Consider the following 27,560-nt stretch of genomic DNA (forward strand, 5'->3'; position numbering starts at 1 on the left):
GATTGAAGAAGCAAATACTAAAATTATGTGATGAGAAAACTAACAACATAACCTTCTGGAAAAGAGTGCTCTACTGATTTATGCCACAAGAGGGCCCACAAGAACTTTGTCCTGACCCTTCAGACACAATGGTTTTGAGGGTTGTGGACTGACTTGATGTGTCCCTTACAACAGCTAAGGGACAGATTTTCTCTCAAAAACTTACAAATGTTTGTACTTCTACATCAGAGTGATTTTCCCCAAACACATCAATGTCACCTTAAAATGAGGTAGCACACAGTCTGCCTTACCTCTTAATTAAAGGCAGGATACATTTCATTAAGTGCAGCAAAATTAATATGCCCTAACAAACCAGTGTAAAAGTCAAGATGAATGCACCAGTCTTAAATTCATACTAAAACATGGCCTCAAAAAGGCAATGTGATCCAGGATACCTCAGCCCCAATCTTGGATCTCCACTGAACAAGATGTGGCAAGTCATTTACCCTTTCCTAAGTAAGTTTCAGCAGTCTTATCCTAAAGTGGCAGTAATAATGTTTCCTCTATAATTAGTAAATAGAAAAATCACTCAACTACTGAGAGTATTGTGTCTTTTCACTTAGATATAAAATGGCATAGTTAAGAATTCTGACATTTATGGAAATAATTATATTTTAAAGAATCATGGATCTTAGAAACCCAGATCCTTCCTATTCTGGTAACTCAAAAATCTGTTAAGTTGGACATCTGCTGCTATGGTGGCTGAGCTCCCAGTAAGCACTCAAACACTTAAAAAAACAAAATCCAGTCAGGATAAAGAAGGTCAAGTTGTCTGTAAATGCAAAGCCCTATTCATAGTCCAAAGTAGAAAGAATAAATGCATTCTTAACTGAGTTTGAGAAAACAGTTTTCAGGAAAGGAAACTGAATTACACTGCATCGGATCAGACAAAACCCGAAAGTCTGGTTCATTTTCAAAAGATAAAGATGGAATCTAAAGTTATTTTTACTACAAAGGCAATTTAAAACTTAAATATTAGGTTTAAAAAAAATCAAGCATTTGATGTAGAATCAGCGTATCTAATCTAGGTATCACATTTTTTAATCACATATTTAAATATAAAAATTACATAAGGGGTTCATTATTTAAAGAAGGAAACAGAAAGGTATTAGGCTAAATAAATGTTTTAATACTTCAAGAAAATTGAATAAGATGATTATTATTTTAAAATTGAGATAATCAAACTATGAAACTACCTACTAGACATAATTAGAGAGTCAAATAAGTTCAAGCTCAAAGAAACACATCAATTTTGTCTTAACATCTTTCTGTATTCAAAGAACTTTGAATGATGAGATTGCTATAAAAAATATCATTAGGCCAGGCACCGTGGCTCATGCCTGTAATCCTAGCACTTTGGGAGTCTGAGGTGGGTGGATCACCTGAGGTTGGGAGTTTGAGACTAGCCTAACCAACGTGGAGAAACCCCATCTCTACTAAAAATACAAAATTAGCCGGGCATGGTGGCGCATGCCTGTCATCCCAGCTACTCAGGAGGCTGAGGCAGGAGAATTGCTTGAACCCGGGAGGCAGCTGTTGTGGTGAGCTAAGATCATGCCATTGCACTCCAGCCTGGGCAACAAGAGTGAAACTCGGTCTCAAAAAAAAAAAAAAAAAATCATTAACCTGAGACTAAACTAATAGTTATCATATGAGAACCCCTGTGGTTATCATATCCCGAAGCATATGGTGAGAAGTTCAGTTCAGAATTTGTTAATAACCATGAAACCATTTTTATTTTAGGACCCACATTGGATCACCTGACGTCGGGAGTTGGACACCAGCCTGGCCAACATGGTGAAACCCCGTCTCTACTAAAAATACAAAAATTAGTTGGGTGTGGTGGCACGTGCCTGTAATCCCCGGTACTCGGGAGGCAGAGGCAGGAGATTCGCTTGAACCCAGGAGGTGGAGGTTGCAGTGAGCCAATATCACGCCACTGTACTCAAGCCTGGGCGACAGAGCAAGACTCCGTATCAAAAAAATATATATATATATGCTTTTAAGGCAACAAAATAGTCAAAATCTCCACAAACAGAAATCTGATAAATTTTGGTATTAGGTGTATTTCTAAATAATACCAACAGCAACATTATCTGAATACACACTTCTCATTGCCACTGCGAGGTCCGACAGCTCTAACAGTTTTTTGGGTACGCTGTAGAAGCAGGATGTCTTCCTCTTGTTCCATTTCGTCACTATCCCATTGGCGACAACCCAGAGCTGAACAGATATACCTCACCTGAAAAGACAAAATTAGATACAAAATTAGTAAAAGGAGACAACTCATAATAGATCAGAGATATTAAAGGAATCTGTAATTTTTAAAAAGTGAAAGGAAACTAAGGAAATGTGTATGAAGTACTCAAGTCATAAGAAGCATCAGTTAGATTACCAACTCCTAAAATGAGTTATTTAGAACAATGACAGTACCAATGAATATTTATTTCAGGGAATGATTTTAAGGATTTACATAATTTTAGCCTTACTTTGGAGATTTCCATAGAATATACAAGAAGAAATGGATAGCTACTTGTGATAGCTTTTCTACAATATCATTAATAAAATTTCAGGTGAGTTAAAAAAAAAATCAACCTTAGAGTTTCTGTATAACAAAAGTGTTTGGTTTTTAAAAATTTGAAACTTTTCTGAGAGCTTTTTGTATTCAAAAGTAACTGCCTCAAATTTTCACTAAAGAAAAAAGGAAGAGTTAATATGATCCAAACTAAAATCCTCACGAAAAGCATACCTTCTACAATACCAGAATTATGTAGCAGCACATCAAATCGGAAAACCAGGTGATCGGGTTCAATCCTGTTGTTTACAGATGAGACTACCGAAGTAAACAGAGATTGAAGTGCTTTGCTCAAAAAACGGCCAGATAGGATGGCATGGCCTCCTCAACACAATGCAGATGCAGGTGGGTGGAGAAGGCAGAAAAGCATCTGCAAGAGCAAGAAAGTGCTATGGGCCTAACACTTAGATAAGGAATTGTTAAAGTTGAAAAATGCAAGAGTAAAAAGACCACGTTTCTATTCTTCCTTATTTTAGTCCAAGTCTGTATATAAACCGTTTACACGTCACAATGGTGTGATCTCAGCTCACTGCAACCTCCACCTCCCAGGTTCAAGTGATTCTCGTACCTCAGCCTCCTGACTAGCTGGGACTACAGGCGTGCGTGCGCCACCATCCCCAGCTAATTTTTTTATTTTTAGCAGAGATGGGGTTTCACCATGTTGGCCAGGCTGGTCTCGAACTCCTGGCCTCAAGTGATCCACCCACCTTGGCCTCCCAAAGTGGTAGGATTACAAGTGTGAGCCACCTTGCCTGGTTGAAAGGATGCTTTTAATTAGCTACTCTTGATAATGGATTTATAAGACCCAATCTTAGAAGCAGATTATATTATGATTATATCCTAAGAGCTAATGTTGGAGAAAGTCTAGATTATTAACAGCATGACTTTGTTGTCAGATAGATCTAAGTTAAATGTGACCCTGGAAGTTTCTGAACCTTTTAAAGTCTCAGTTTCTTCATCTGTAAAATGAGTATAAACTTTCCTCTTGGATCACCTTATTATAGGATCAAACCCTATAAATGAGTAGTATCAATTATTCTTATCATTAGGATTACTATTAATCTTTATAAGGTTCTTCATCTGTCAAAATGTAAAAAAAAAAAAAAAAAAACGAAAGTTACACTTAGGAAGACTGTGAAGATTGCAAAATAATGTATAAAAAAAAGAACCTGAGGCTGGGCATGGTGGCTCCTGCTTATAATCCCAGCACTTTGGGAGGCTGAAGTGGGCAGATCCCTTAAGGCCAGAAGCTGGAGACCAGCCTGGCAATACAGTAAAACCCTGTCTCTACTAAGAATACAAAAATTAGCCAAGCATGGTGGCATGTGCCTGTAATCCTAGCTACTCAGGAGGCTGAGGCACAAGAATCGCTTGAACCCACTTGAACCTGAGGGGGTGTGGAATGGGGTGGGGGTGGGGATTGCCATGAGCTGAGATCAGCCTGGGCAACAGAGTGAGACTCTGTCTCAAAAAAAAAAAAAAAAAAAAAAACACCTGAGACACAGTAGACCATATTTATGAATTCTCTTCCTCCTGCTATTCCTGGCTCTGCCATTTATTCTGTTATTAGTTTCCCCTTCCTACCTCACAGTTCTCTTATTAAAACAAATGACAACCTCAGGGGAAAATTACAATAAAACTCAACTAATAATAAGTGTAGTTTAATAAATTACTTTTTCTACCCTAATTTACTCTGATTTCCCCAAAGTAAATTCAGCATTTTCACTTACCTTTCCACTATATGCACTGAGTCCATATGTAGTCAGAGATTTTCCTCCAACCAAAACAACATCATCTCCAAATTTATAAGAAGATTCAAGAAGTGATTCAACTGTGAAAGGAACTGTTTCCATGCTTTCACGGTCTTGGTCCCACTGGAAGAGGGCTCCATCCAGGGAAGGAATGATCATCTTATTCCCAAATACCTAAAACAGAAGCTAACTTTTTAAAAGGGCCATAACATTAATTATTATTTTTTTCTTATTTCTCCCAGAAAAATAGAAGCATCATACCTTTAAAAGAATAATAGTAATTAAGAGCTGGAGTCTTGATCCTGATGTACTCCAGCCTCCTTCTGAGTAGCACATGAAGCAGTGCAGTCCATCAACCAAAAGTAATTTAAAAGAACTGCCAATCACTCCCAGGCCCTACACATAGTACTCTAGTAAGATTTTTCTCAAACTCAGTTTACCATGGGCCAAAAGGGTCCCATAATGGTAGGTGAGTTACCAAAAGAGAGTTTTATGATCAAGTGAGTTCAAGAAGAGGTTACTATAGGAGCTCTTATAGCAATTAGTATGTTAATGTGTAACATGATTATGTGTAATATGTGTAATATGAATATTTAATGTGTAAATAGATAATATATGCAGTATTTTCTAGGGCTATTTTTATCAAGGCCAATTACTGTCATAGACTCAGCTCCAAGGAACACAGGTTTAGAGATACTGATTCAAGTAGTGTCCCATCCCTTCTTTCATTTGCTTTCTCAAATCTGCAATGAGATAGAAGCCTAGTAAGTAAGCTTACTGGTTTTGTGTTCTCGGTTGCCCTCCCTTCTTTTAACAATGCTTATTAAGGGCTTACCTATGGCCTGGCACATTCTGATGGTTGGGATAGATTAGCGAGCAAAGCAAACAAATCACTGCCTTTGTGAAGGTTAAACTCTGGTGTCACGAGACAAACAACTTAATAAATAAGTAAATTATATGGTATGTTAGGTGATAAATGCCGTTAAAAAAATGGAACAAGATAAAGGGAGAATGGTAAATACGCATGGGGTGGAGAGGGGATTATCAATAAAGAGCTTAGGGTAGACCCCACTGAGAAAGTAACGTTTGGGCAAAGTCTTAACGTGAGAGAGTTAACCACGCCAGGCCAGGCTTTGCAAAGGCTCTTAGATGGAAGCATACCCATCATGTTTGAAAAACCACAAGGAAAGTGAACAGGCTGAGAGGCAAGAGTGGAGGCAGAGAGAGCAGGCAGAAGGTAAGAGGTTAGTTGATAAGCAGTAGAGCTGTTTAAGGTAGTCAGGTTTGGGATATAATTGAAAGGTAAAGCCAATAGGATTTCATGGTGGATTCTCTTTATGGCATGAGCAAAAGAAAGGAGTCCAGGATAATTCCAAGACTTCTGGCCAAGAATATCTTATTTCTTCAGTAAGAGTTTTAGTACATGTCTTTGTGACATTGACCTTTGGCATTTAAAAAACGCATAATTTGACCTACATCAATTAATGACACAATTATTTTCCTGATTATCCAGGCTCAAAACTTTAGGAAACAGGAATACGAGAGAAGTAAGAGTTAACAAAATTTTTCTACATAGTTTTTTGTTCTTTAAGCAGCAGATTGCTTTCTTTAAAGGGATACTTACTTGAAAACTCGCATACAGTAACTGAGAGTTCTCATTTGGTGTTCAACTCACACATCTACTTTGCCCCAAACCTGGGGTTTTGGAAGACAGATTAAAAACCACTATTCTAATTCACTTCTTTCTTTCATTTTCCAGTTCAAATCCTTATTATTTTCCAGTTCAAATCCAGTTCAAATCCTGCCTTAACTACTATAATAGCCTCTTTACAGTTCTTAACTGGAAATTTCCTTAATCTTCTATGTATCTTCCAGATTAATCTCTTTCAGTCAGAGTTAAGCTTGTTATGACACTATTCAAAAATCTTCAACAGCTATTATCTTCTTACTAAAGACCCCAAATCCTAAAGATCCAAAATCCTTTAGAGGACATTCAAAGTCCTCTAAAACTGACCTTAAATAAACCTTTCATCCCTGTCTTTTAGTTCTCCCCCAATGGGTGGAAATCAGGCATGGTTATTTAAACACAACATTTAAAGTTACTGATATTGTTCAGTTATGTCATTGTCAATGTCATTTCTTCTTTCTGGAACATCCTTCTGTACCAACTTTGTCCACAGAAATCCTATCTAGCCTTCAACCTAGCATCATGTATTTTTTTGCTTTGAAATCTAAGAAAATTTTGGCAATGTAAGTTTAGTGACAAAAATCTTCCCATTCCTTAACTTTCCTTTTTGTTGTCACTATAATCCGAGACACCGTGATATCCTCAAAAATTGTTCACTGTACCTCCAAGAAATACTTACCAGGTCAGCTAATGTTTATATTTATGTTTATACAGTGGCTGTAAAAGTAGTGCACTCATACCCGGTGCCCAAATTTTGTTATCTAATTTCATTCTCCACCAAAAGGAACCAGGGCTCCTCAGAGAAATGGCAGATTCCAGGGCTGGGGCAGTGTAGATGTGAGATGAGCCTTTACCATCTTATTCTTTCAAAAAACAAGGATGTGCTTGAAAAGGGTGAGGGCCACTGGCCAAATCTGGGACAATTAAGCACCAAAATAATTAAGTACTGAATTTTTAAAAATAGGAATTCACATGTTCATACCAATAGCAAACAGATAAAATAAATAATATATGAGGGAAAAGGAAGGGCTGGAGTTGGAAAAATTAGCATTTTGCCACCATCACAGTAAAGACTGGGTCATACCAGAGTCAGCAATGGTGCTAAACTGAGGTGGAAACTTTGATGAAGAACAGAATATCTACATGTTCTAGGGTGTCTCCTTACAGAGTACTTATTAGTTACAAGAAATTAAAAAACAAAAGTTATATATTACATAGTGGAGATAATACCTTGATTGGATAACCAAAAGTAAAAATCATCAATGAGAGTTAGATGCCCTGAGAGAGACTGCATCACCTATGTAGTATTCCAGCCAAGAATGCACAACCTGAATCTCAGCACAAAGAAACATCAGGCAAGCACAAAGTAAGGAAAATTCCATTTTAAAAATAACAGAGAAACCATATTCTTCAAAAATGTCAATGTCAGATAAAGAAAGGGCTGTGAAAAAAAAAACTAGATTAAAAGAGGCTAATGTGACAAATAAATGCAATATCTGACCCTAGACTAGATGCTGTACTAGGCATAGAGGATGCTATAAAGGATATTATTAGGTCAACTGACAAAACTTGCATATGGATGGTAAGGCATTGTATTAATATAAATTGATAATGCTTATAACTTTTGTAGTTATGTAAGAGAATATCTCTATTAGGAAATATACACTGATGTATTTAAGAGTAAAGGGCCATGATGCATATTTAACTTATCCTCAAATATTTCAAGAAAAACAAGTGTGTATGAGGGAATGGGGGAGAAGAGTGAGAGTGGGCAAGAGGACACGGGCAAGCATATAAAGCAGGCAACCAGGTTGGGGTAGGTAAAGTCTGAGCACATAAGGTTTTTTTTTTTCTTTTTTGGTACCACGTTTATTGTACAACTGTCTGTAGTTTGAAATTATTTCCAAACAAGAGTTTAAAAACAAAAGAAAGGTACTCAAGAGTCTTGCAGGAGCTCTATAATCAAACTCAAGACCATACCATTAAATGAAGGTTTACCATAATTCTAGACATTTAAGGGTTCCTATTACTCATTACTGAAAAAACATTTGATTTTCAGTAAGTTCTCAAGTGACACTGGTATATACCTTACCTAATATTACCTTAGAGTCTTAGCATAACTATTTTATTCTTTGTTTCCTTCTATTTCCTGATAATAGATAACAAATTTTATTCTCAAAAATTAAAACCTTTATTTTTATCTTTTGTAGAATGTCCAACTTGAAGTTGCCATTAGAACAAATTTAGGTCAGAGTATGCACATACCCTATAATAACAATAAGTAGTATTTAGCCGATATGATCTTCTATTTTGAGTTACATATCAGATAGAAAATCAAGTATTTACCATTATCTACCTCCATATTATGTTAAATATTCTATATTTTATTTACCAGAACACTAGATTCAAATAATAAAGTTAAAAATAGATATTTTAATTGGTCATCTCAACAGTAGTATTAGGTTAAAGTATAAACAGAGAAAGCAGGTGTGCATGACTAAAAGAGGAAGAGGAGTTAAGTGTGTCTGCAGTAAACAGATAGCGTTTATTTTGACTTATTTCCTCTTCCATTAAAAACCTCTTTTCCTCTAAAGCAGTAGCGGGTCCTTAGGGAATACAATGTCTCCTAAGTGCAAAAATCAACTGCCAAACTAATATGAAATAGAATCCATTTTTGCCCTAAGGATGGTCTCTGCAACTCCAAAAGTAAAACCAGCCAATCAACCAACAGACTGACCAACCAACCTTATCTTCAATTAAAAATATAGTTTAAAGATTCAAGATTTGATATCATTGACCATACTGAGAAAACTTCCTTATTTTAAAAGTTAAATGCTCAACAGCATTAACTCAGTAAGTGCAAAACACAAAACAACAACAAGGCATTATGATTCAATAATGAATCATCATGTCATATTTCTGGATTGTGATTTTAAAAGTTCACTTTTAAATAGCTGCTCTTCGCTAATTGGTTGCTTATGAGTCATACACATGGCTGCTGACCTTTGTGCCAATCTTGTCAAGTCTTTCAGGCTGCATATGTGAAAGCAGATGGAGCTTTTCCTTGAGAGCCACAGAAGCAATATATGCATGCAGTTCAGGTACAGAGATGACATCACCCTTCACAATAGCATTACCTCACCCCCTAAGCATAGGAATGAGTCACCCGATAGTCAGCTGCAAATCTCTTGGTAGAAAAAAATGTAGGTTACGGTGATGCATTTTCACATCCCACTGATTTGTTCATGTAAGCAGCTATTTGTTCTGATTCGCTGCTCTGCATCTCAAACTTATTGTGTGACTTGCTTCTCCCTTAAGTCATTTTAAAAAGTCTAAATTTTTGTATTTATTTTCTTTATTGTTTTTTCCCTGTTCATAATTTAAAATAAAAGGTGCTAGCAAACTCCCAGAGTCTATCTGTGTAATCATAAAGCAGTTTAGTAAAGTAATTCCGTTTCTGTTTCTTAACAAAACCTAAGTGGTACAATGAATACCAGTGGCACTTGCAATCAGGGACTTCTATCTGAAATTAAAATGTGAAAATAACTTTAATTTTAAAGTGGAGGAAGGAATTTCATATGAGAAAATAAAGGAAGTACTACTACTAAAATGAGCACTACCAGCATTAAAAAACAAAAATTCCTCTAACCATAAGAAAAAATGTTTTCCATTTGATTCTTCCCTATTTTTCTATGCAGCCAACCCCTCTCCCCAACTGACTCACACACTTTTTGGAGTACATTCAACTTTATTTTAACTGGTTATAAAAAATTTCAAGCATATAGAATGTGGAGATTAATAAATCCCCATGTATCTATCATCCAGTTCCAACAATTATCAACATTTTGCCAACTGTTTCATCTATCTCCACTCACCTACTATATACTTGTTTACTGGAGTAAAATCATCAAATTTTAAAATTTCTCCTATTATCTCAAAGATCTACTTTATGATGAGGAATTCCAAGTCTACATATTACATCTGATTCTTTTCCCTCCACAAAGGAACTTCTTTCAACCCCTTTGTTATGCACTGATTTACTTGAGAAACCAGATTATCTGTCCTATAGAATGTCCCACAGTCAGGATTCTACATGTCATTTAACTTGTTCCTTTATTTCCTATATTTCCTGAAAAGTATGATTAGACTTGGAGCTTTGATCTGATGCAGGTTCAGTTGTTTTGACAAGAAGCCTTCGTATCTGGTGCTACGCACTTCCTATTACATTAGGGGTCTACAAACTACAGCCCATGAGCCAAATCCAGCCTAATGCCTGTTTTGTAAGAAAAGTTTTATTGGAACACAGCCACACATTCATTCATTTATGTATCTGTCTATGACTGCTTTCCAGCTGCAACTAAAGGCCACATGATCCTCAAAGCCTAAGATAAGCACCATCTGGCCCTTTACAGGAAAAGTTTGCTGGCCCCTATGCTATACCATATTAGGAGGCACATAGTGTTTGCATGCCCCACTTTTAATGATGTTACTATCAATCACTTGAGTTTGGGGGAGTCAGCCTGATCCCTCCATTTAAAGTGTCCCATCAACTTTTTACCATTTTAGTATTGCTTGATGGCCTACTATTTCAATAAAAGAACTAGAATAGCAATTTCTAATTTTGTCATTCTTTCTGCATTTATTAGTTAAGATTTTTCTTTTTTTTTTTTTTTTTTTTTGCTTTTCTTTTTTTGAGATGGGGTCTTGCTCTGTCACCCAGGCTGGAGTGTAGTGGCGCAATCTCGGCTCACTGCAACCTCCACCTCCCAGGTTCAAGTGATTCTCCTGCCTCAGCCTCCCGAGTAGGTGGGACTACAGGCGCCTACCACCATGCCTGGCTAATTTTTTGTATTTTTAGTAGAGACAGGGTTTCACCATGTTAGCCAGGGTGGTCTCAGTCTCCTGACCTCGTGATCTGCCTGCCTCAGCCTTTCAAAGTGCTGGGATTACAGGCGTGAGCCACTACTCCCGGCCTAGTTAGGATTTTTCTATAAAGAACTTTTCCTCATTCGGTTTTGGAAGCCAGATTTGCATACACTAGCATTTTCTTGATTAGTGACTCAGGCATTAAACACTCTCAAATCCCAAAAATTGTATCCAGAAGTAACTCACCCACTATAAAACTGAAAATTGAAAAGGGTTCAGGAGACTTGGTGAGACCAGTGTGTTCCCTAACCAGGAACACACTGGCCCTGATAGTTAACAAAAGCCAAGTTCTGTGTATAAGCTAAGAAGCAACAAGGTTTAAAAAGGAGAAGAGGGGGTAAGAAAAAGAGTGTGGCAAGATGCAGACTCACTGAATGTAGAGATAAGGAAGAATGAACATAGGCCATGAAGAAAGAGAGTGTAAAACACCAATTATCCTAGAATATTTATTAAAGGGGCACACATCCCTGTCCCACCTAAGAACCCCAGAGAGCATTTCTAGGATAATACAATAACATTCTTACAATATTTACAAATAAATAATTCTTACAACTTACAAATAAAAAGATACAACTCATTAAGATTGGGAAGATGTGAAATACATGAATACACCATTAATGTTCTCACTTGTAAGTGAGAGTTGAACAATGAGATCACATGGACACAGGGAGGGGAACAACACATACTGGGGCCTGACGGGGGTGGGGAGCAAGGGGAGGAAGAGCATTAGGACAAACACCTAATGTATGTGGGGTTTAAAACCTAGATGATGGGTTCATAGGTAAAGCAAACCACCATGACACATGTATACCTATGTAACAAACCTGCACATTCTGCTATATCCTGGAACTTAAAGTAAAAAAAAAAGAAAAATAAAAATATGCCATTAAAAATGCTAAATTGTTGACTTTTTTATTATCTGGAAGTCTCCTTTGCCTAGAACAATTACTTTCCTAGCCATACTAGTTGTTTTGCAAACCAAGGTGATGGGGCAACAGCACACATCCAAAACATAAAATCAAGATGTATCCATACCAACCAGACCAGCTGACTGCACCTCATCCAGCCCCATCCCCTGGGTCCCTGACTCTACTACTCATTTACTATGTGACCTCGGATAAAAACGAACACTTCACTGTTTTACAAAATGTCTCACGTTTCCTTATTTCACTTGATTCTCAAAATCGCTCTCCACAACTAACTTAAAAGGGATTCCTTTTTGGTCTTCAACCACTGACTAATGCTTTTATCACTTTGGGCATCCACAGGCTTCCTGCTTTTTCCCACTGCTTTCCAAGTTCCCCAGTTGACAGTGGAAAGGGTTTTCTGATGTTCTGTTTTGCTGCAAAACTTTCAATAAGACTAACAAATCAAGGAGTTGTTTGAAGAGGCATTTGCATTATAAATCAGTTATCTCTAATTATGGAAGTATTTATATTTATACATATTCATAAAGTCTTCACACCAAGTAGCAGATGCAAAAATCTGAAGGAAAGCAGGATAATCCCTAAAATCCTACTAAAACAAATCTATCATTGAAACACTTTTTCTCTCAATTTTCTCTAACTTATCAGTCTCTCTCAATTTTAAAATGTTGGACTTCAAAGCTTTGGTCATAGGTCTTCTCACCCTACTTTCTTTCAAGGTGATTGATCTTCTCAGTTCCCATGACACAAGCAATTCTAATTTTAACTTCAGCCCAGACTTTTCCTCTGTCAGCACAAGACCCATAAAGTCAAATGCCTTCTTTAGCATCTCTGCTTGGAGAGCTCTCATGGTCTCTCCCAACTCATATCTAAACAACACATGTTCTTCCTTTCTATACCTGTTCTTAATTTACTACTAAATCCTCCTTTGGTCTTGTAATTTTATCTTCCTCGTTAAACATCTTTTGAATCTGTCACTTTACTTCACTCATTTCCACTGTCTCCATCCAGTCTATCATCCCCATCTGGATGACTACCATGCAGTCTCTTAACTAGTGTGGGAGACTAGAAATAGTCTCCCAATTTCTGCTGTTGTTTCAGTCCATTTTCTACAGTCAGAGTGATCTCTTCCACTTAAACCTTCAATGGTTTCTCATGGCTCAGGATAAAATCTGGAATGTCTAACATAGCTTACTAGACCCTGCATAACCTGATCCTGGCCCACCTCAATGGGCTCATTTCGGCTGCTCTCTCCCAACCCTCATTCCTGTTGCCATCCTCAACTTCTCTCAGTTCCCCAAACATGCCATGATAACTCTCGCCTTAAGGCCTTGAGATAGGCTATTTCCTCTCCCAGCATAATCCTCCCCCTCCTCTCTATCCATCTCTTGCCTCAGTAACTCCTGATCATACAAGAGAGGCCTTCTTTGACCATCAGGCTAGGTAAGCACTTATGCTTGTTAGAGTCTTTCTTTGTGCTCTATCCTGCCTTGTGCCAGTTACCACACTCAATTGCATTATTTGTACTATAATTATTTCATATTTGCCTCCCTAGCTGGCTCCACACAGTACCTTATAAGTTCTAGAAAGGCAAGAATCACATCTGTCCTGGGCAGTGCACAATTCTGCACGCCTCCCTCCTGCAATCCCGCAATGCTGAATTCAGTTTTGGATGTGTTAAGTTTTGGTGCCTGTGACTATCCCACTAGGGTTGTCCTAGAAGCAGTTTAGATGCTCAAAATGTGCTGAGCTACGTGCTAAGTATGCTGTACGCAAGATGTCTTTGAGTAATTAATCTCCATAAAGCACATGAAGAATTATTAGTAGAGAAAATACAAATAAATTGGTAAGCATTAAGGTATTTTAAAAAGCATTAAATGTTGGAAAGAGGGAAAGATGTAAGTACAAAGATCTCGGGTTGAGTCTCACCTTTACTATATCAGATAAATCTCTGAACCTTTTTGATCCCCGATTTTATCATGCAAAAAATTAGGGTTAATAAGAATATTTACTTCACAGGGCTATGTAAATGACTAAGAATAGATATCACTTTACAAACTATAAAGTGCTACTCAAACAAAAGTTTATGATCCAGGGCTGCTTACTTTGAACTTCTAAGGTAATTTGTATGTGTTTATGTGTATATATACATGTATACTTATGAAAGAAAAAAGTTAAAAGCAAAAATATAAACTCAGTCTAGCTCATGTGACTACCTATAATTCATTGTGAGCTTTATTTTATTCTCTATTGGAAACTTCAGGAGAGAACTATTATTCATGAATACAAAATTTCAAAAATAACAAAAGCTTTTTGAATTCTAGAGAATACCTGCTCCACAAGTAAATTAAAGGCGGGAGCAGACAGAAAGCTTAATTATGCAAGGTCAGTTATTTCTTTCCCAAACATGGATTCACATCTGTTTAAAAACAAGGCCTCAAAACCAAATAAAGATTAATTCAGTGTAGAATATATCAAACTGCTGCAGTTTTTGATTTATCAGAAAGCTCTATCAAGCCTAAAATTCTTTGATTGTAACATAAAAACTCTAACGGATTGAAAGTACTTTATTAATCAATAAAGACAATCAGTGCTAAAGAAAAATTAACAAGTATATGTCTGTATATTTTAATTCTTCAAAAATGATACACTTGAATGGAACATAAACAGTAAATCTTAATTAACCAAAATGAGCAACTGACTACACTACTAGATATCAGAATTGACTATTTGTGACTTAAAAAAAAAAGATGCTTCAACATTGTTGTATTATGGAAATATATATTTTTACTTCCCTGGAAACATTGGGGAAAGTAAAAGGAAGACTGTTTGATAAAAGTAAAGGGTCTCCAGGAATCATACCTGAAAGACAAGGGAAGGGGCATCACCATTAGATGATGATGCCCTAACGGGAGGGGTAATGAGATTGTTCAGCAGATCCGGGTATTAGTCAGATTGCATCCCAAGTGATATGCTATATGCTTAAATGTTGAGAAAAACCTCTGCAATGATTTGGTATTTATCTTAAAAAATGTAAATTAGTACTCAAGAGCAGAGAAATATCAAGTTGATAACAATTGTTTAATTCTTTTTTTCACTAATTTAATCAACCTACAAAACAAAATGCCTCAAGGGAAACTACCAGACTAGCTTTTTAAGCATACTTCTCACAGTCATGATAAAAGAACACTGATTTTAATAACTATCTCTGCCTTCACCTAGATTAATATATATTCATGACATAAACAATGTACATGAAGAGTCAATTTCCTAAAAAAATAAAATAAAAAATAAAAAAAACAGGGCCAAATCAGTTTCTCCTTTGGTGACATGCAATGCTGGGATAAATTAGCTTAGTTCACAGCACTGCTTTCAGCCATGCTAAGGGATTAATATAACAAAATTAAATTAAAGCACTGTTTCATTTCTATAATTAAAAGAAAAGCAATTAACCCAGGCAATTATTTAAATATTGGCTTGCTACATGATTGACAGCTATGCTTCAAAATAAACTGCCATCTTAGATGACACAGACTCAAAATGTGCTAGTTTGCGTGCAAATGAAAAACTGCAAAACAACTTGGACAGCTTTCAGTAAAAGTAAGAGAAGCTTTAAAAGAGATTACAGATCCTCTTTTAATAAATACTTAAAAGGGTCTACTAATAGACTCTTTCTAAACAAATCAGTAACCAGTAAAGCTGTACCCTTTTCAAAGGCAGTCCCACTTTTCAAAGCCCTTATATTAGTGGAATGTAGTCTGATATGGGGAGGGGGAGGAGGCTGGAGAGCACCAGCATCAGAGCTGTCTGTTTCTGCACCTGTCTGAAACAGAAAGGCGGTGTCCCTTGGGGAGAAACATGCCTAAAATAAAGCAAAACCCCAAACCTTATCTAAGTTTAGACGATAGAGTTGTTTGTTCTTCTTAAGAGGAAAAAAAGGGCATATTTAACAGAAAACCAAAACAGAAAACAAATATGGTATCTCTAAATAAAGATAAAGGTATTCATCTAAGTACAAATTAGTTATATATACACAATTACAATATGCATTCTGAATAACAATAAGGAAGGTCTTCATATTTAAAAATGAGTTCCAAGACATAAAGAAGTAGATAGTTCAATCTACTTAGATTTGGTGAAGTGATCCAAATGTAGCCCAGAGATCCTAAAGAAAAAACGATGCTCATGTGTTACAAAACAAAATTTTAAGGCAATCAGTGAGGAATCACAGACAAATTTCCTTAGTGCTTTTATCAAGGTTGAATCTGAATATAAATTACTAGAGGAAAGCAAATCAGATTTCACATCTGAAAATTAAAAACAAAATTCTTAGCTACTATTAACTGGCAAAAATATTATGCTTAGAACCTAAGCACATCTGTTAAAGCTAATAGAGTGAACTTTAGGTGCATTATTTATTCTAAGACACACAAACATGCACCTTAACGGTTTTAGCTTGGTTATGTATCCACACTCTTTTCAGGAGATAGTGGCAAATGAGATGTGTGTCCCAAGGTACACAATTCATACAATTCATTCTAAATGTAATTTAAAACATCTGTTCTTAGTGGAACTGTCAATTTCCCTTATCTTCCAGGAGCTTATTTTTTCCATTGACGTAATCAAAATCCCACTAAAGCAACAAAATACACTATTCTGTAAGCCTTTTGGATCAGAAAAGGTTAAGAACATCAGAGCAAGCCAGGAGGCAAGTATGTACCTAATGGTAATTCCTAGTGAATTTGTTCTTTATTTTCAGAAGAATCCTTAAATGTAGTAAAAGGGAAAGTTCAAAAATTTCTCCAGATAATTTACTTGGGTGTTTCATGTATGTGACTGTACCTGATGCATGAAGTTAGATTATCTTTAGAGATGTAGTCCAATTCTATAACTTTACAGAGAAGGAAATTAAAGCTCTACTGATTAAATAATTTAGCCAGTTCACACAGTAAGTTAATGGAAGAATTAAGACTAAAACTGAAGCTCCTGAATCCTAGTCCCTCCTCCACAATACCACACAGTCTAAAAAGTTCCTGTGTGGCTTTAGTATTCCAGCAAAAGTACATGGGATCCATAATCAATTCCTTTATCAATAACTTAAAAATTATTATACAGTCTATCAAATCCTTTATCCTTCAGCTTCTCAGATTAATAAGTAACTTTGATAGTTGCAGAGAATACATCTTCTCTGGTCTTCTGAGTTACATCTGTTTCCTCGTCATAAGACAGGGTTGTGCTATGTGGCCCAGGCTGGCCTCAAACTCCTGGGCTCAACTGGGCCCAGCCTCCTGAGTAGCTGGGACGACTACTCAGGAGGCACGTGCCACTGTGCCCAACTTTCATACCATTCTTGATGAAAGCTTGGAGAAACTGACATTCTAACACAGGAGTCCCCACAGGAAGCCATGAACCTATTTATTGTTACCTGGGAGGTGACACCTGCTATATATCCATGCCAGCTCTTTCTGCCTGCTACAACTGGCCCTCTTCCCTACACCAGCCTTTACAACCAAACACACTGGGTTTCTGAGAGAGGAAGTTAACTACTTTTAAAAAAGTTAACTATTATGAAGGTTAAGGACCTTAAGAAAACACTGCACCAGATGCATTTTGAAGGTAGTATTACTCTATGCATCCAGTTCACAGCATTTCAAATGGCAGTTTTTGATTTCTTTTTTTTTTTTTTTTTTTTTTTTTTGAGACAGGGTCTCACTCTGTCACCCAGGCTGGAGTGCAGTGGTGTGACCTGACTCACCGCAACCTCCGTCTCCCAGGCCCAAGTGATCCTCCCACCTCAGCCTCCAAAGTAGCTGGAACTACAGGTGCATGTCACCACACCTGGCTAATTTTTGTATTTTTTTTTTTTTTTTGTATTTTGTATTTTTTGTAGAGATGGGGTTTTGCCATGTTGCCCAGGCTGGTCTAGAACTCTTGACTTCAAGCAATCCACCTGCCTTGGCTTCCCAAAGTGCTGGGATTACAGGTGTGAGCCACCGCGCCCGGCCTTGATGATCCTTTTGTGGTGTTTTGTCCAACTTTTTTTTTTTCTAAATCTGAACTGGACAAATGTTCAACTTTTGAACATAACTTCTAGATGCTGAGCAGCACACACCTTGCTGAATAACAGATGACTCATGCTCACAATACAGTCTTCTCTCCTTGCTAATATGTTTATAATTTCACAAATATTCTTATATTTCTATCATATACCAATTAAGTAATTTTCAAAGTATGGTTCGTGGATTCTTTCAGGGGTGCAAAATAGCACACAGTTTTCAAACAAGGTGTGATTTGCCTTTTCACAAAGGTTGCTATTTGCCCTGAAGGTATAAAAGCAATGCTGACTAAAACTGCCGGTGCCTTGGCACAATTCAGGAACCAAACTAAGAATACAATGGTATTCTTCACTGTCATACACCTGAACTAAAGGAAAAAAACAGAGACAGTTCCACTTACAAATGTTCTTGATGAAGCAATAAAAATGACTGATTTCATTAAATCTTGACCCTGAGTAACACATCTTTTTATTATTCTGCATGACTAATTAGGAAGTATGTAACAAGCCTTTCTCCACATGCTAAAGCATGTCTTGAGGAAAAGCACTTCTAGAACTGAGTTGTGAGCTGAACTAGCAGCTTTGTTCATTGAGCTCCAATTTTACTCAAAAGTCAACTGGGTATTTGGTAGACATTTTCTAAAAAATGAACAAAGTGAACTTTTTACTTCAAAGAACACATCTGACGGTATTTGTGATAAAATTTATGTTTTTAAGTGAATTCTAGAATACTGGAAAACTTGGGCCAGGCATGGTGGCTCATGCCTGTAATTCCAGCACTTTGGGAGGCTGAGGCAGGAGGATAGCTTGAGCCCAGCAGTTCGAGATCAGCCTGGGCAAAATAAGAAAACTCCATCTCTACAAAAAAAAAAAAAAAAAAAAAAAAAAGGTAGCTGAGCTTGGTGGCAAGCGCCTATAGTCTTAGCCACTTAGGAGGCTGAGGTGGAAGGACTGCTTGAGCCCAGGAGTTGGAGGCTACTGTGAGCTATGATCACGCCACTGCACTCCAGCCTGGGCAACAGAGTGAGACCCTGTCTCTAAAAGACAAAAAACAAAACAAAACAAAACAACTTGGATCTGCCAATTTGCGCTTCACAGCTTCCCAGTACTTACAGACTTTTCTGATGAGATCAGTGGTAACAGCAACAAATTTGTTTTTTTAAAAAATATTCTATAAGGAAATATGCCAACATTTAAAAGATCTATGTAACTCAGTCAGTATTTTCTAAGTTATAAAATCATGCATGAGTAAAAGGCAAGACAGACCAATGGATGTTAGTGTTCAGAGTATAAAATGTTCATTGATATGGTTTCTGATTCCACACTGCAACTAACCTTTAAAAAACTTCCACTTGTTTTGGCAGATTATTAAAAAAGAATGGCCTCAATTATTTGAAAAGGCTACTAGAATATTCCTCCCTTTTCCAACTACATTTGTATGTGGCTGGATTTTCTTCTTTACGTAGTTAAATCAAAACAACAATGCAATATATTTAAGGCAGACGCGGATACAACTGTTTTCTATTAAACCAAAAATTTAAGAGACTTGCAAAAATGTAAAATGCTACTTTTCTCATTAAATTTTTTGTATTAAAGAATATAGTTATTATTCATAAAAATGTTACGTTATTGTGGAGTGGGTTTATTGTTATTTCTTTAATAAAATACATGTTTTTTAAACATTTGTTTTAGGCTGGTCGTGGTGGCTTATGCCTGTAATCCCAGCACTTTGAGAGGCCAAGGTGGGAAGATCACTTGAGCCCAGGGGTTCGAGACCAGCCTAGGCAATATCGAGACTCTGTCTCCACAAAAAAAAAAGTTAGCTGGGCATGGTGGTGCATGTCTGTAGTCCCAGCTACTCAGGAGGCTGAGGCAGGAGGATTGCTTGAGCCCAGGATTCAAGGCTGCAGAGAGATATGATCACACCATTGCACTCCAGCCTGATAAAAAGCTCTTTAGAGCCCTCAATAATTTTTTAGAGTATAAACAGGTCCTGACACCAAACAGTCTCAGAACCACTGTAGTCTATGAAGAGCCTGAGCTTGTAAAGAAAGGGAGGTATATACAAGGTGGCAAAAGGGCTTCAGAGCAGGCAGAATGGAGTACAGTCAGGCAATCTCGGGCTCAGTTCCAACTTCATCCATATATATAGCCGGTCAGCAACCTCAAGCAAATTTATTTGAGCTGCAATTTCCTCTTTACAAAATGGGACCAACTTATCAACCTCAGAAGGGTTACTATGAGGATTACACTGTGTAAGCAGCATCGAGTATATGTTACAATGCTGGGAACAACGTTATATCATCAGTATCTCTACATATTAAACATCCACTCTCAAGAAATGGTCCCAAGAATTTGGGGCAGCAGTAAAATCTAGTTAATCTATCATGTTATCGCAGCTGTTTCAATACCTTCAGATTTTCTTTTTTTTTTTCTATGAAGTAGAAAATGAAAATCTAGATAATGCAAAGAGGTATCAGGATTCTTTTCCTGCATGAAAAGCGACCAGTGAGCTTTCTGAAAAGGCTTTCGATTCAACATTTCTTTTGCTGTTGTTGTTGTTTGAGATGGGAGTCTTGCACTGTCGCCTGGGCTGGTGCACAGTGGCACGATCTTGGCTCGCTGCAACCTCCGCCTCCCAGGTTCAAGTGATTTTCCTGCCTCAGCCTCCCAAGTAGCTAGGATTACAGGGGCCTGCCACCACACCTTGCTAATTTTTTGTATTTAGACGGGGTTTTACTATGTTGGCCAGGCTGGTCTCAAACTCCTGACCTTGTGATCCGCCCGCCTCAGCCTCCCAAAGTGCTGGGATTACAGGCATGAGTCACCACGCCCGGCCTACGATTCAACATTTCAAAGCAAAAATTTTATCCAAAAGATCTAGGATTGGGGGTGGGTGGGTGTGAGAGAGGACACTGAAAACAAGGGAGCCCTAATAAACCACAGAAAATGGTGCGAACTAAAGACAGTAAGAATGTTGAACTGTAGTTTTAAAAACAGCTAATATAACGGCTATGTGTAAGAAAACCTTCAAATACAACTAGCTGCTTATAACTCAAACACACTTACTAGCACTCAGGTTATTACAACTATTTGCATTCTACTTTGCCATACCATGCAACTTATCTTTTTGTACCTATATATATTTCAGTTTGCAAACACACACATGCTTTGAACTACTACAACACACTGTGATATTACCTCAGATGTAAGCAGCTTACAATCTTCTCATTTTGCTGATCATCTCTTATGTCTAGTTTAAAAATAAAGTAAAACATGCATACCCAAGCATAATCCCAGCAGAAGAAAAATAAACAAGTTTATCTTAAGTAGTAATTCACTTGAATACCATACTCAATTATAAACTTAATGTAATTTACAATCAAATTGCTATTTGTATTAATAATTCATAATACAATAGAAGTTCTCTATTCTCAAAATATATTTTCAGTATACTGAGAAACAGTAGCCACTTATAAAGTCTACTCAGGGTTCAGCACACAGCAAATGTGGAAATTTGGCAGTGTTGTTTCCTTAAATATCAGTTTGGGTGCACCAGAAAAGATTTGGGCTGGGTTTACTGGAAAGCACAGGAAAGTCTGTTATTATAGATGCGTCACTGGTAGCAGTTTCCCATTGGAAAGTTTGGTCACCAATATTCAGGTCATTCTCAAACCCCTCATGTACGATTTTGTCTTTTCCATACTTAATATCAGCTAGGAAGCTTTTTAAAGAAAAAGACTGATGACAAAAGAGAAAAAAGACTACCCTAGGGAGTGTCCTACAAGAACAACTCGATATAAAAGAAGGCCACAGGCATTCTGGAAAACAGAGGTGACTGCTTCAATGTTAGTAGTCACCACTCAAAAGATGGACTTATTTTTAAGTAATTTAAACAACAGACTAAAGCTCCAGAAAAGCAGAGAGACTTAATCCATCAGAATTGAAACTAAAGGTGAGGAAAATCAGCTTCTCTTATTTAATCTCCCCCATCTGTACCCCATGCGGGCAGGCTGTGTCCTCACTTTATTGATGAGAACAACTAAAGCTCTGAGGGGCTTGAAGTCATGTGACAGAGTAATTTTGGAAGCGAGGTCTCTTTGAATCTATGCTCTTTCCCCTCTACTATTCTAGAGCTCCAAATTATTAAGTACACTTTTTCTGCAAATAATCAAATTTACCTGGAATTACATTACAAAAAAATTTCAGATGAATTCTGCTTATAATTAGGGAATAATAATTTATGGGATTTTGCAGCACAGATTTCTAACTAGTAAAATTCAATAAAGTTTTTATTTATATTTATCTTATTATTCCTAGAGATCTTGTGATGATAATAAACAATCATTTATAGCTCAGATAATGTGCTTTGCTGATATGGCAGATAGTATCCTCAGCTGCTCACTTATAGGATTAACTCACTTAATGCCCCAAGTAATCCTAAGAAGATGTTATTATCCATCTCATTTCACAAGAGGGGAACTGAGGAATAGAAAAGTTAAGTAATTGCCCTAAAGGGACACAAACTGTAAGAGGCAGACAGGCCTCAAACCTGGGCAATAGGGCCCCAAACTTCTTAATATCAGCAATTACTCATTAGAATTAAGTTTTCTAGTCAACAGTTAACAGAAAATTCTTACCTCTGGTTTGCTAAGGCTGGATGACACCAAGGAACCGGATCCCACATCCAAATCCCACTGCTTTTTACCATGATTTTCAGGATCCAAGGCAGCAATTCTCCCATCTAAAGTGCTGATAATTACTAATGACCTGTAAATATTAAAAATATTTTTAAAATTAACAGATATCTAAGATATTGGGCACTTATCCCACATGCTCAAAAGAAAACCAGCCCATGTCCAGGCCTCTATTCGTAGAAAGGAAGAGGGGGCCTTCTACCACTCTTGCCACCACTGTCTTTGGACCAAGACAATTTCAATATGCCCTTTATCTGTTTATGTAACTTATGAAAAGCCCCTGACTCATAGGTCACCCTTCATTCCACACTCTAATTCCCATAAGGAACACAATGTCCCCTGGTATGTCCTCTTCTACCTACATACCTCCTGAAAGCCTTTCCCCTGAAACACTGTCTTCCCTGATCGTTCACTTATCTTTTTGCTCTCATAGAAACCGGGCTTTCCCTGAGGATATCGCTTCCCTACAGAAGCACAGATAATTTTTTTCTCCCATAACCCTTGCTCAGAATGGGGTAAGTGGACTCCATGTATCTCATTGCCATTTCCAGACCACTTTTTTCCTCTCCTCTCTGAAAATCCTCAGGATCAGACTGTTTTGTCCCTTACCCCTCCTAGTAGACATCTAATTGACCCTTAGGTAACTAGCCCCATCCTGGAGGATTTCAGCTGCTGGTTTACTGTCACCACCTAACATATTTAACATACTTCTGCCTCAATTCTTTGGGTTTTCAATATCTATCTACCTTGCTTCAGCTGCTCCTGTGGTCAGACTCTAGACCTTGTCATTACAAATCACCGCAACCCCCTAACCACCAACCCCTCTCTTTTCAGCTCACTTCCTCTACTTCCCTGACTCCAAGAAACTTCTGACCCTATGAGAACCTACAAGCCACTGATACTACAACCTTCACTACCACCATGCCCTCACTTCTTTCTTAACCAGTTAAAATCCCACAGTCCTTCATCTTAAGCACTACTTTGCACACACCTCAACTCCCTACCCTGCCTCTCACATGTCACACTCTGGAAGAACTGGTTAAAGTCAATCTTCTCCCCTTTCTCACTCCTACATCTGTGCAGTTGAACGTATCTGAAGAGAAACATACCATGTTGACTATCCTCACTTTAATTAACGACCACCAACCTCAAAAAGGCTACTAACAATGCTCAACAATCATAACACCCTTCCCTAGTCTATCCATTATGCCACTGAACCATGTTAACCATTCATGTCTCCCTGTTCCTCAAACTTCTGATGCCAGCTCTTTCAAGCTCACACATCTTGGTGACTGTGCTTCCTATTTCATAGGGAAAAACAGGAGAAATCAGCTTGTTTCCCCCTACCACCTCTATCTATGCAACAGTACCTGGACCATGGGTTCCACCTTCCCTCCTGTTAGTGCAAGTGAACTGTCCACACTCCCATCTACCGCCAACACCTCCACTTAAGCAACAGAGCTCCCCCTTACGCATTCGTGAGGTCTTGCTCCTGCAAATGTCTCCTGTCACTCCCACACCATCAGTCATTCCCTACTAGAATATTCCCATCAGCATTTGCTATAAACTGAACTTTTGTGTCCCCACCAAAAAATTCATAAGTTGAAACCTAATCCCCAAGGTGATCATACCAGGAGGTGGGGCTTTAGGAGGTGATTAGTTCATGAAGGTGGGGTCCTCACTTATGATATTAATGCCTTTATAAAAGCAGCCCCAGAGATGCCCTTGCCCCTTCCACCATGTAGGAGTGCTTCTGTGAAGAATCAGTCTTCACCAGATACTGAATCTGCCAGTACCTTGATCTTGAACTTCCCAGCCTCTAGAACTATGAGAAATAAAGGTCTGTTGTCTATAAACCACCCAGTCTACAGTATTTTGTTATAGCAGCATTCAAACCTGCTACTATTTTCCCCAACTTAAAAACCAAACCAGATCAAACAAAATGAATCCTTCTCCTCCTCAAGCATCCAATCTACTTCTTGCCCCTCTGCAACAAAACTCCTTGAAAGAGTTGTTATATACTGTCTCCTAATCTCTTCCTCTCCTTCTATGTTGAACTATTTCTAATCAAGTTCTCGCCCCTACCACCTCACTAAAATGGTTCTTGTCAGAGTCAAGAATGACCTTCACACTGATAAATCCCGTGGTCAGGTCTTGCTTCACTTGACCACCCAGCAGCACCTGACCAGCCATTTCTGCCCTCCATGAAACACACTCTATATGGCTTCCAGGTCACCACGCTCTTTTTTTTTTGGACTCAGTTCTATGCTATTCTGTCTCAGTTTCATTTTCTGGTTCCTTCTTATCTTTCCTATCTCTTAAAATAGTCTCTACCTACATGTAATTTTTTTGGTGATCTCATCCAGTCTCATAGCTTTAAATACCATCTATATCCTGGCAACTCCCAAATTTATATCTGGTTTCAGGCCTCTCCCCTGAACTGCAGACATACATACCTAACCACCTACCTGATTTAGACTGTCTAACAGGCTTTTCAGAGTTTGCATATCCATAGACAGACCCCCTCAACTCTTCAAATACATCATGCAAAATTTTTGCTTAGGGCCTTTGCATCTACCGTTCCTTCTGCCTGGAACATACACCTCCAGCTACAGAGCAGACTCTCCATAAATTATTTATTTGTTTTTATTTATTTATTTTTTGAGACAGAGTTGCGCTCTTGTCGCCCAGGCTGGAGTGCAATGGCGCAATCTCGGCTCACTGCAACCTCCGCCTCCTGGGTTTAAGCAAGTCTCCAGCCTCAGCCTCCCAAGTAGCTGGGATTACAGGTGCCCGCCATCACACCCGGCTAATTTTTATATTTTTAGTAGAGACGGGGTTTCACCATGTTGGCCAGGCTGGTCTTGAACTCCTGACCTGAGGTGATCCGCCCACCTCAGCCTCCCAAAGTGCTGGGATTACAGGTGTGATCCCACCTGCCCGGCCTAAATAGTTGTTTAAAGGATGACTTGTACAGTTGTTCTATGAATTCATTATGTGTATTTATCAGCTTTAAAGACCATGCACACTGTAAGCATGTATAGTTATATTCCTGGTCAGGAATACAAGATGCAACTTTATCTCTTCTATATCACTTGATGCACAATGTATATAAATTCAAAGTAAAGCCGCAAGTTGACCAAGACTCTCTTGCATTACAAGCCAGCTGTAGTATTCATTATGGGCTCCTCCCCAGAAGCATGTCTCTGGAATGGAGGCACCCCTTCTGCTGTGGTTGGAATTAAGAAGCACCACCGGAGCAATAAAGATTTGCTACTATACCTAATCACAGTCTAAGAAAGAGGTGCTCATTGGCATAATGTAGATCAAGAAAAACATCAAGTAGACAGATAATGCTAAAAAACAAAGTCCTCAGGCTGAATGCAGGGATGACCAGAGGATAGCAATGAGATACAGCATTTAGTGCACTATTCACAAGAGCAAAGACACGGAATCAGTCTAGTGCCCATCAGCAGTAAACTGGATAAAGAAAATGTGGTACATATATACCATAGAATACTATGCAGCCATAAAAAGATGAAATCATGTCCTTTGCAGCAACATGGAGGGAGCTGGAAGCCACAATCCTAAGCGAATTAACACAGGAACAGAAAATCAAATACTGCATGTTCTCACTTATAAGTGGAAGCTAAATATTGAGCACACATGGACATAAACATGGGAGCAATAGACACTGCAGAGTACTGGCCGGGGGTGAGTTGAAAAACTACCATTGGGGCCAGGTGCGGTGGCTCACGAGGTCAGGAGATCAAGACCATCCTGGCCAACGTGGTGAAACCCCATCTCTACTAAAATATAAAAAAAAATTAGCCGGGCGTGGTGGTGCATGCCTGTAGTCCCACCTACTCAGGAGGCTAAGGCAGGGGAATCGCTTGAACCCAGGAGGCAGAGGTTGCAGTGAGCCAAGATCACGCCACTGCACTCCAGCCTGGCAACACAGCGAGACTCCATCTCAAAAAAAAAAAAGAAAAACTACCATTGGGTACTATGCTCACTACCTGGGTGTAATATACTATGTAACAAATCAGCACATGTACTTCCTGTATCTGAAATAAAAGTTGAACTTAAAAAAGGTATGGCATTTAGAACAAACACAGCCAGGTGCAGTGGCTTTCCTTTGTAAACCCAACACTCAGGGAGACTGACGCAGGAGAACTGCTTGGAGGGCCAGGAGTTTCAGACCAGCCTATGCAACATACTGAGACTCCAAATGTACAAAAATACTTTAAAAATTAGCCGGGTATGGTGGCAGATGCCTGTAGTCCCAGCTACTCAGAGGCTGAGGTGGGAGGATTGCTTGTGCCCAGGAGGTCGTGGCTGCAGTGAACTGTTATTGCACCACTGCAGTCCAGCCTAAGTGTTAGAGTGAAATGCTGTCTCCAGAAAGAAGAAGAAACATAAACAGAGATAAAAAGTGAAAAATGAACACCTCCCAAAACAGGAAGAATATAAGGTTATTTATCTCCCCAAGACCACTTGCCCTATTTTGAGGGTTCCAAGATCAAGATGAAAAACTCTTAACTTATTCAAGAATTGAAGGAACTGCAGAGACAGCTTTTCCAGTGGAAAGAACCAAAGCCTAAGTCAGACCTGGGTGTACATCCCCAAGGCTCTCCTCTCATTCTCCTCATGGCTTCATTCGAGTTATTTTTTCATAGGCAAAATATGGTTATTTCACCTATCTCAGTGTAACCCAAGTGTACCTGATCATAAAAATAATCTGGAGTGCTTGTTAAAAACCATTAAAGGTTCCCACGTCTCATCCTAAGAGGGAGACTGGGAGAATGTAGCCTAACAAGCACCCCAGGTGAGTCTCATAAGACCAGTTGTGCAAACACTGTTTTACCTTAGTCATTTCCATAGAGAAAAATTAAATTTATGAT

At 38.2% G+C, this 27,560-nt stretch overlaps 1 protein-coding gene across 5 annotated transcripts in view, besides 3 other annotated features; it reads right to left on the reverse strand.

Annotated features, from left to right (window-relative positions):
- The window catches only part of EIF2AK3 (eukaryotic translation initiation factor 2 alpha kinase 3), a 71,405-nt gene that overhangs the window by 34,384 nt on the left and 9,461 nt on the right, over positions 1–27,560 (reverse strand). For 4 of the 5 annotated variants that reach the window (XM_047446428.1, NM_004836.7, NM_001313915.2 and 1 more), the window contains exons 2-4: positions 22,600–22,729; positions 4,345–4,539; positions 2,148–2,281 (exon numbers count right to left, since the gene is read on the reverse strand). In XM_047446428.1, the coding sequence (XP_047302384.1) occupies positions 2,148–2,281; positions 4,345–4,539; positions 22,600–22,729 (459 nt within the window). Of the gene's footprint in view, positions 1–2,147; positions 2,282–2,788; positions 2,935–4,344; positions 4,540–22,599; positions 22,730–27,560 lie in introns of those variants that run through there. The other variant, XM_047446429.1, reaches the window with a different exon arrangement.
- Positions 8,561–9,760: an enhancer, noted in NCBI's record as "P300/CBP strongly-dependent group 1 enhancer chr2:88899203-88900402 (GRCh37/hg19 assembly coordinates)". NCBI's record gives its function as "activates an origin of replication core promoter dependent on BRD2, BRD4, P300/CBP, MED14 and CDK7 cofactors, with strong dependence on P300/CBP, by STARR-seq in HCT116 cells {active_cell/tissue: HCT116}" and the evidence as "EXISTENCE:reporter gene assay evidence [ECO:0000049][PMID:35650434]".
- Positions 23,507–23,566: an enhancer, noted in NCBI's record as "active region_16168". NCBI's record gives its function as "activates an Ori minimal core promoter by ATAC-STARR-seq in GM12878 lymphoblastoid cells {active_cell/tissue: GM12878}" and the evidence as "EXISTENCE:reporter gene assay evidence [ECO:0000049][PMID:35858748]".
- Positions 24,775–24,984: an enhancer, noted in NCBI's record as "active region_16169". NCBI's record gives its function as "activates an Ori minimal core promoter by ATAC-STARR-seq in GM12878 lymphoblastoid cells {active_cell/tissue: GM12878}" and the evidence as "EXISTENCE:reporter gene assay evidence [ECO:0000049][PMID:35858748]".

This window comes from Homo sapiens, chromosome 2, assembly GCF_000001405.40.
Source record: "Homo sapiens chromosome 2, GRCh38.p14 Primary Assembly".
NCBI classification, from domain to species: Eukaryota; Metazoa; Chordata; class Mammalia; order Primates; family Hominidae; genus Homo; species Homo sapiens.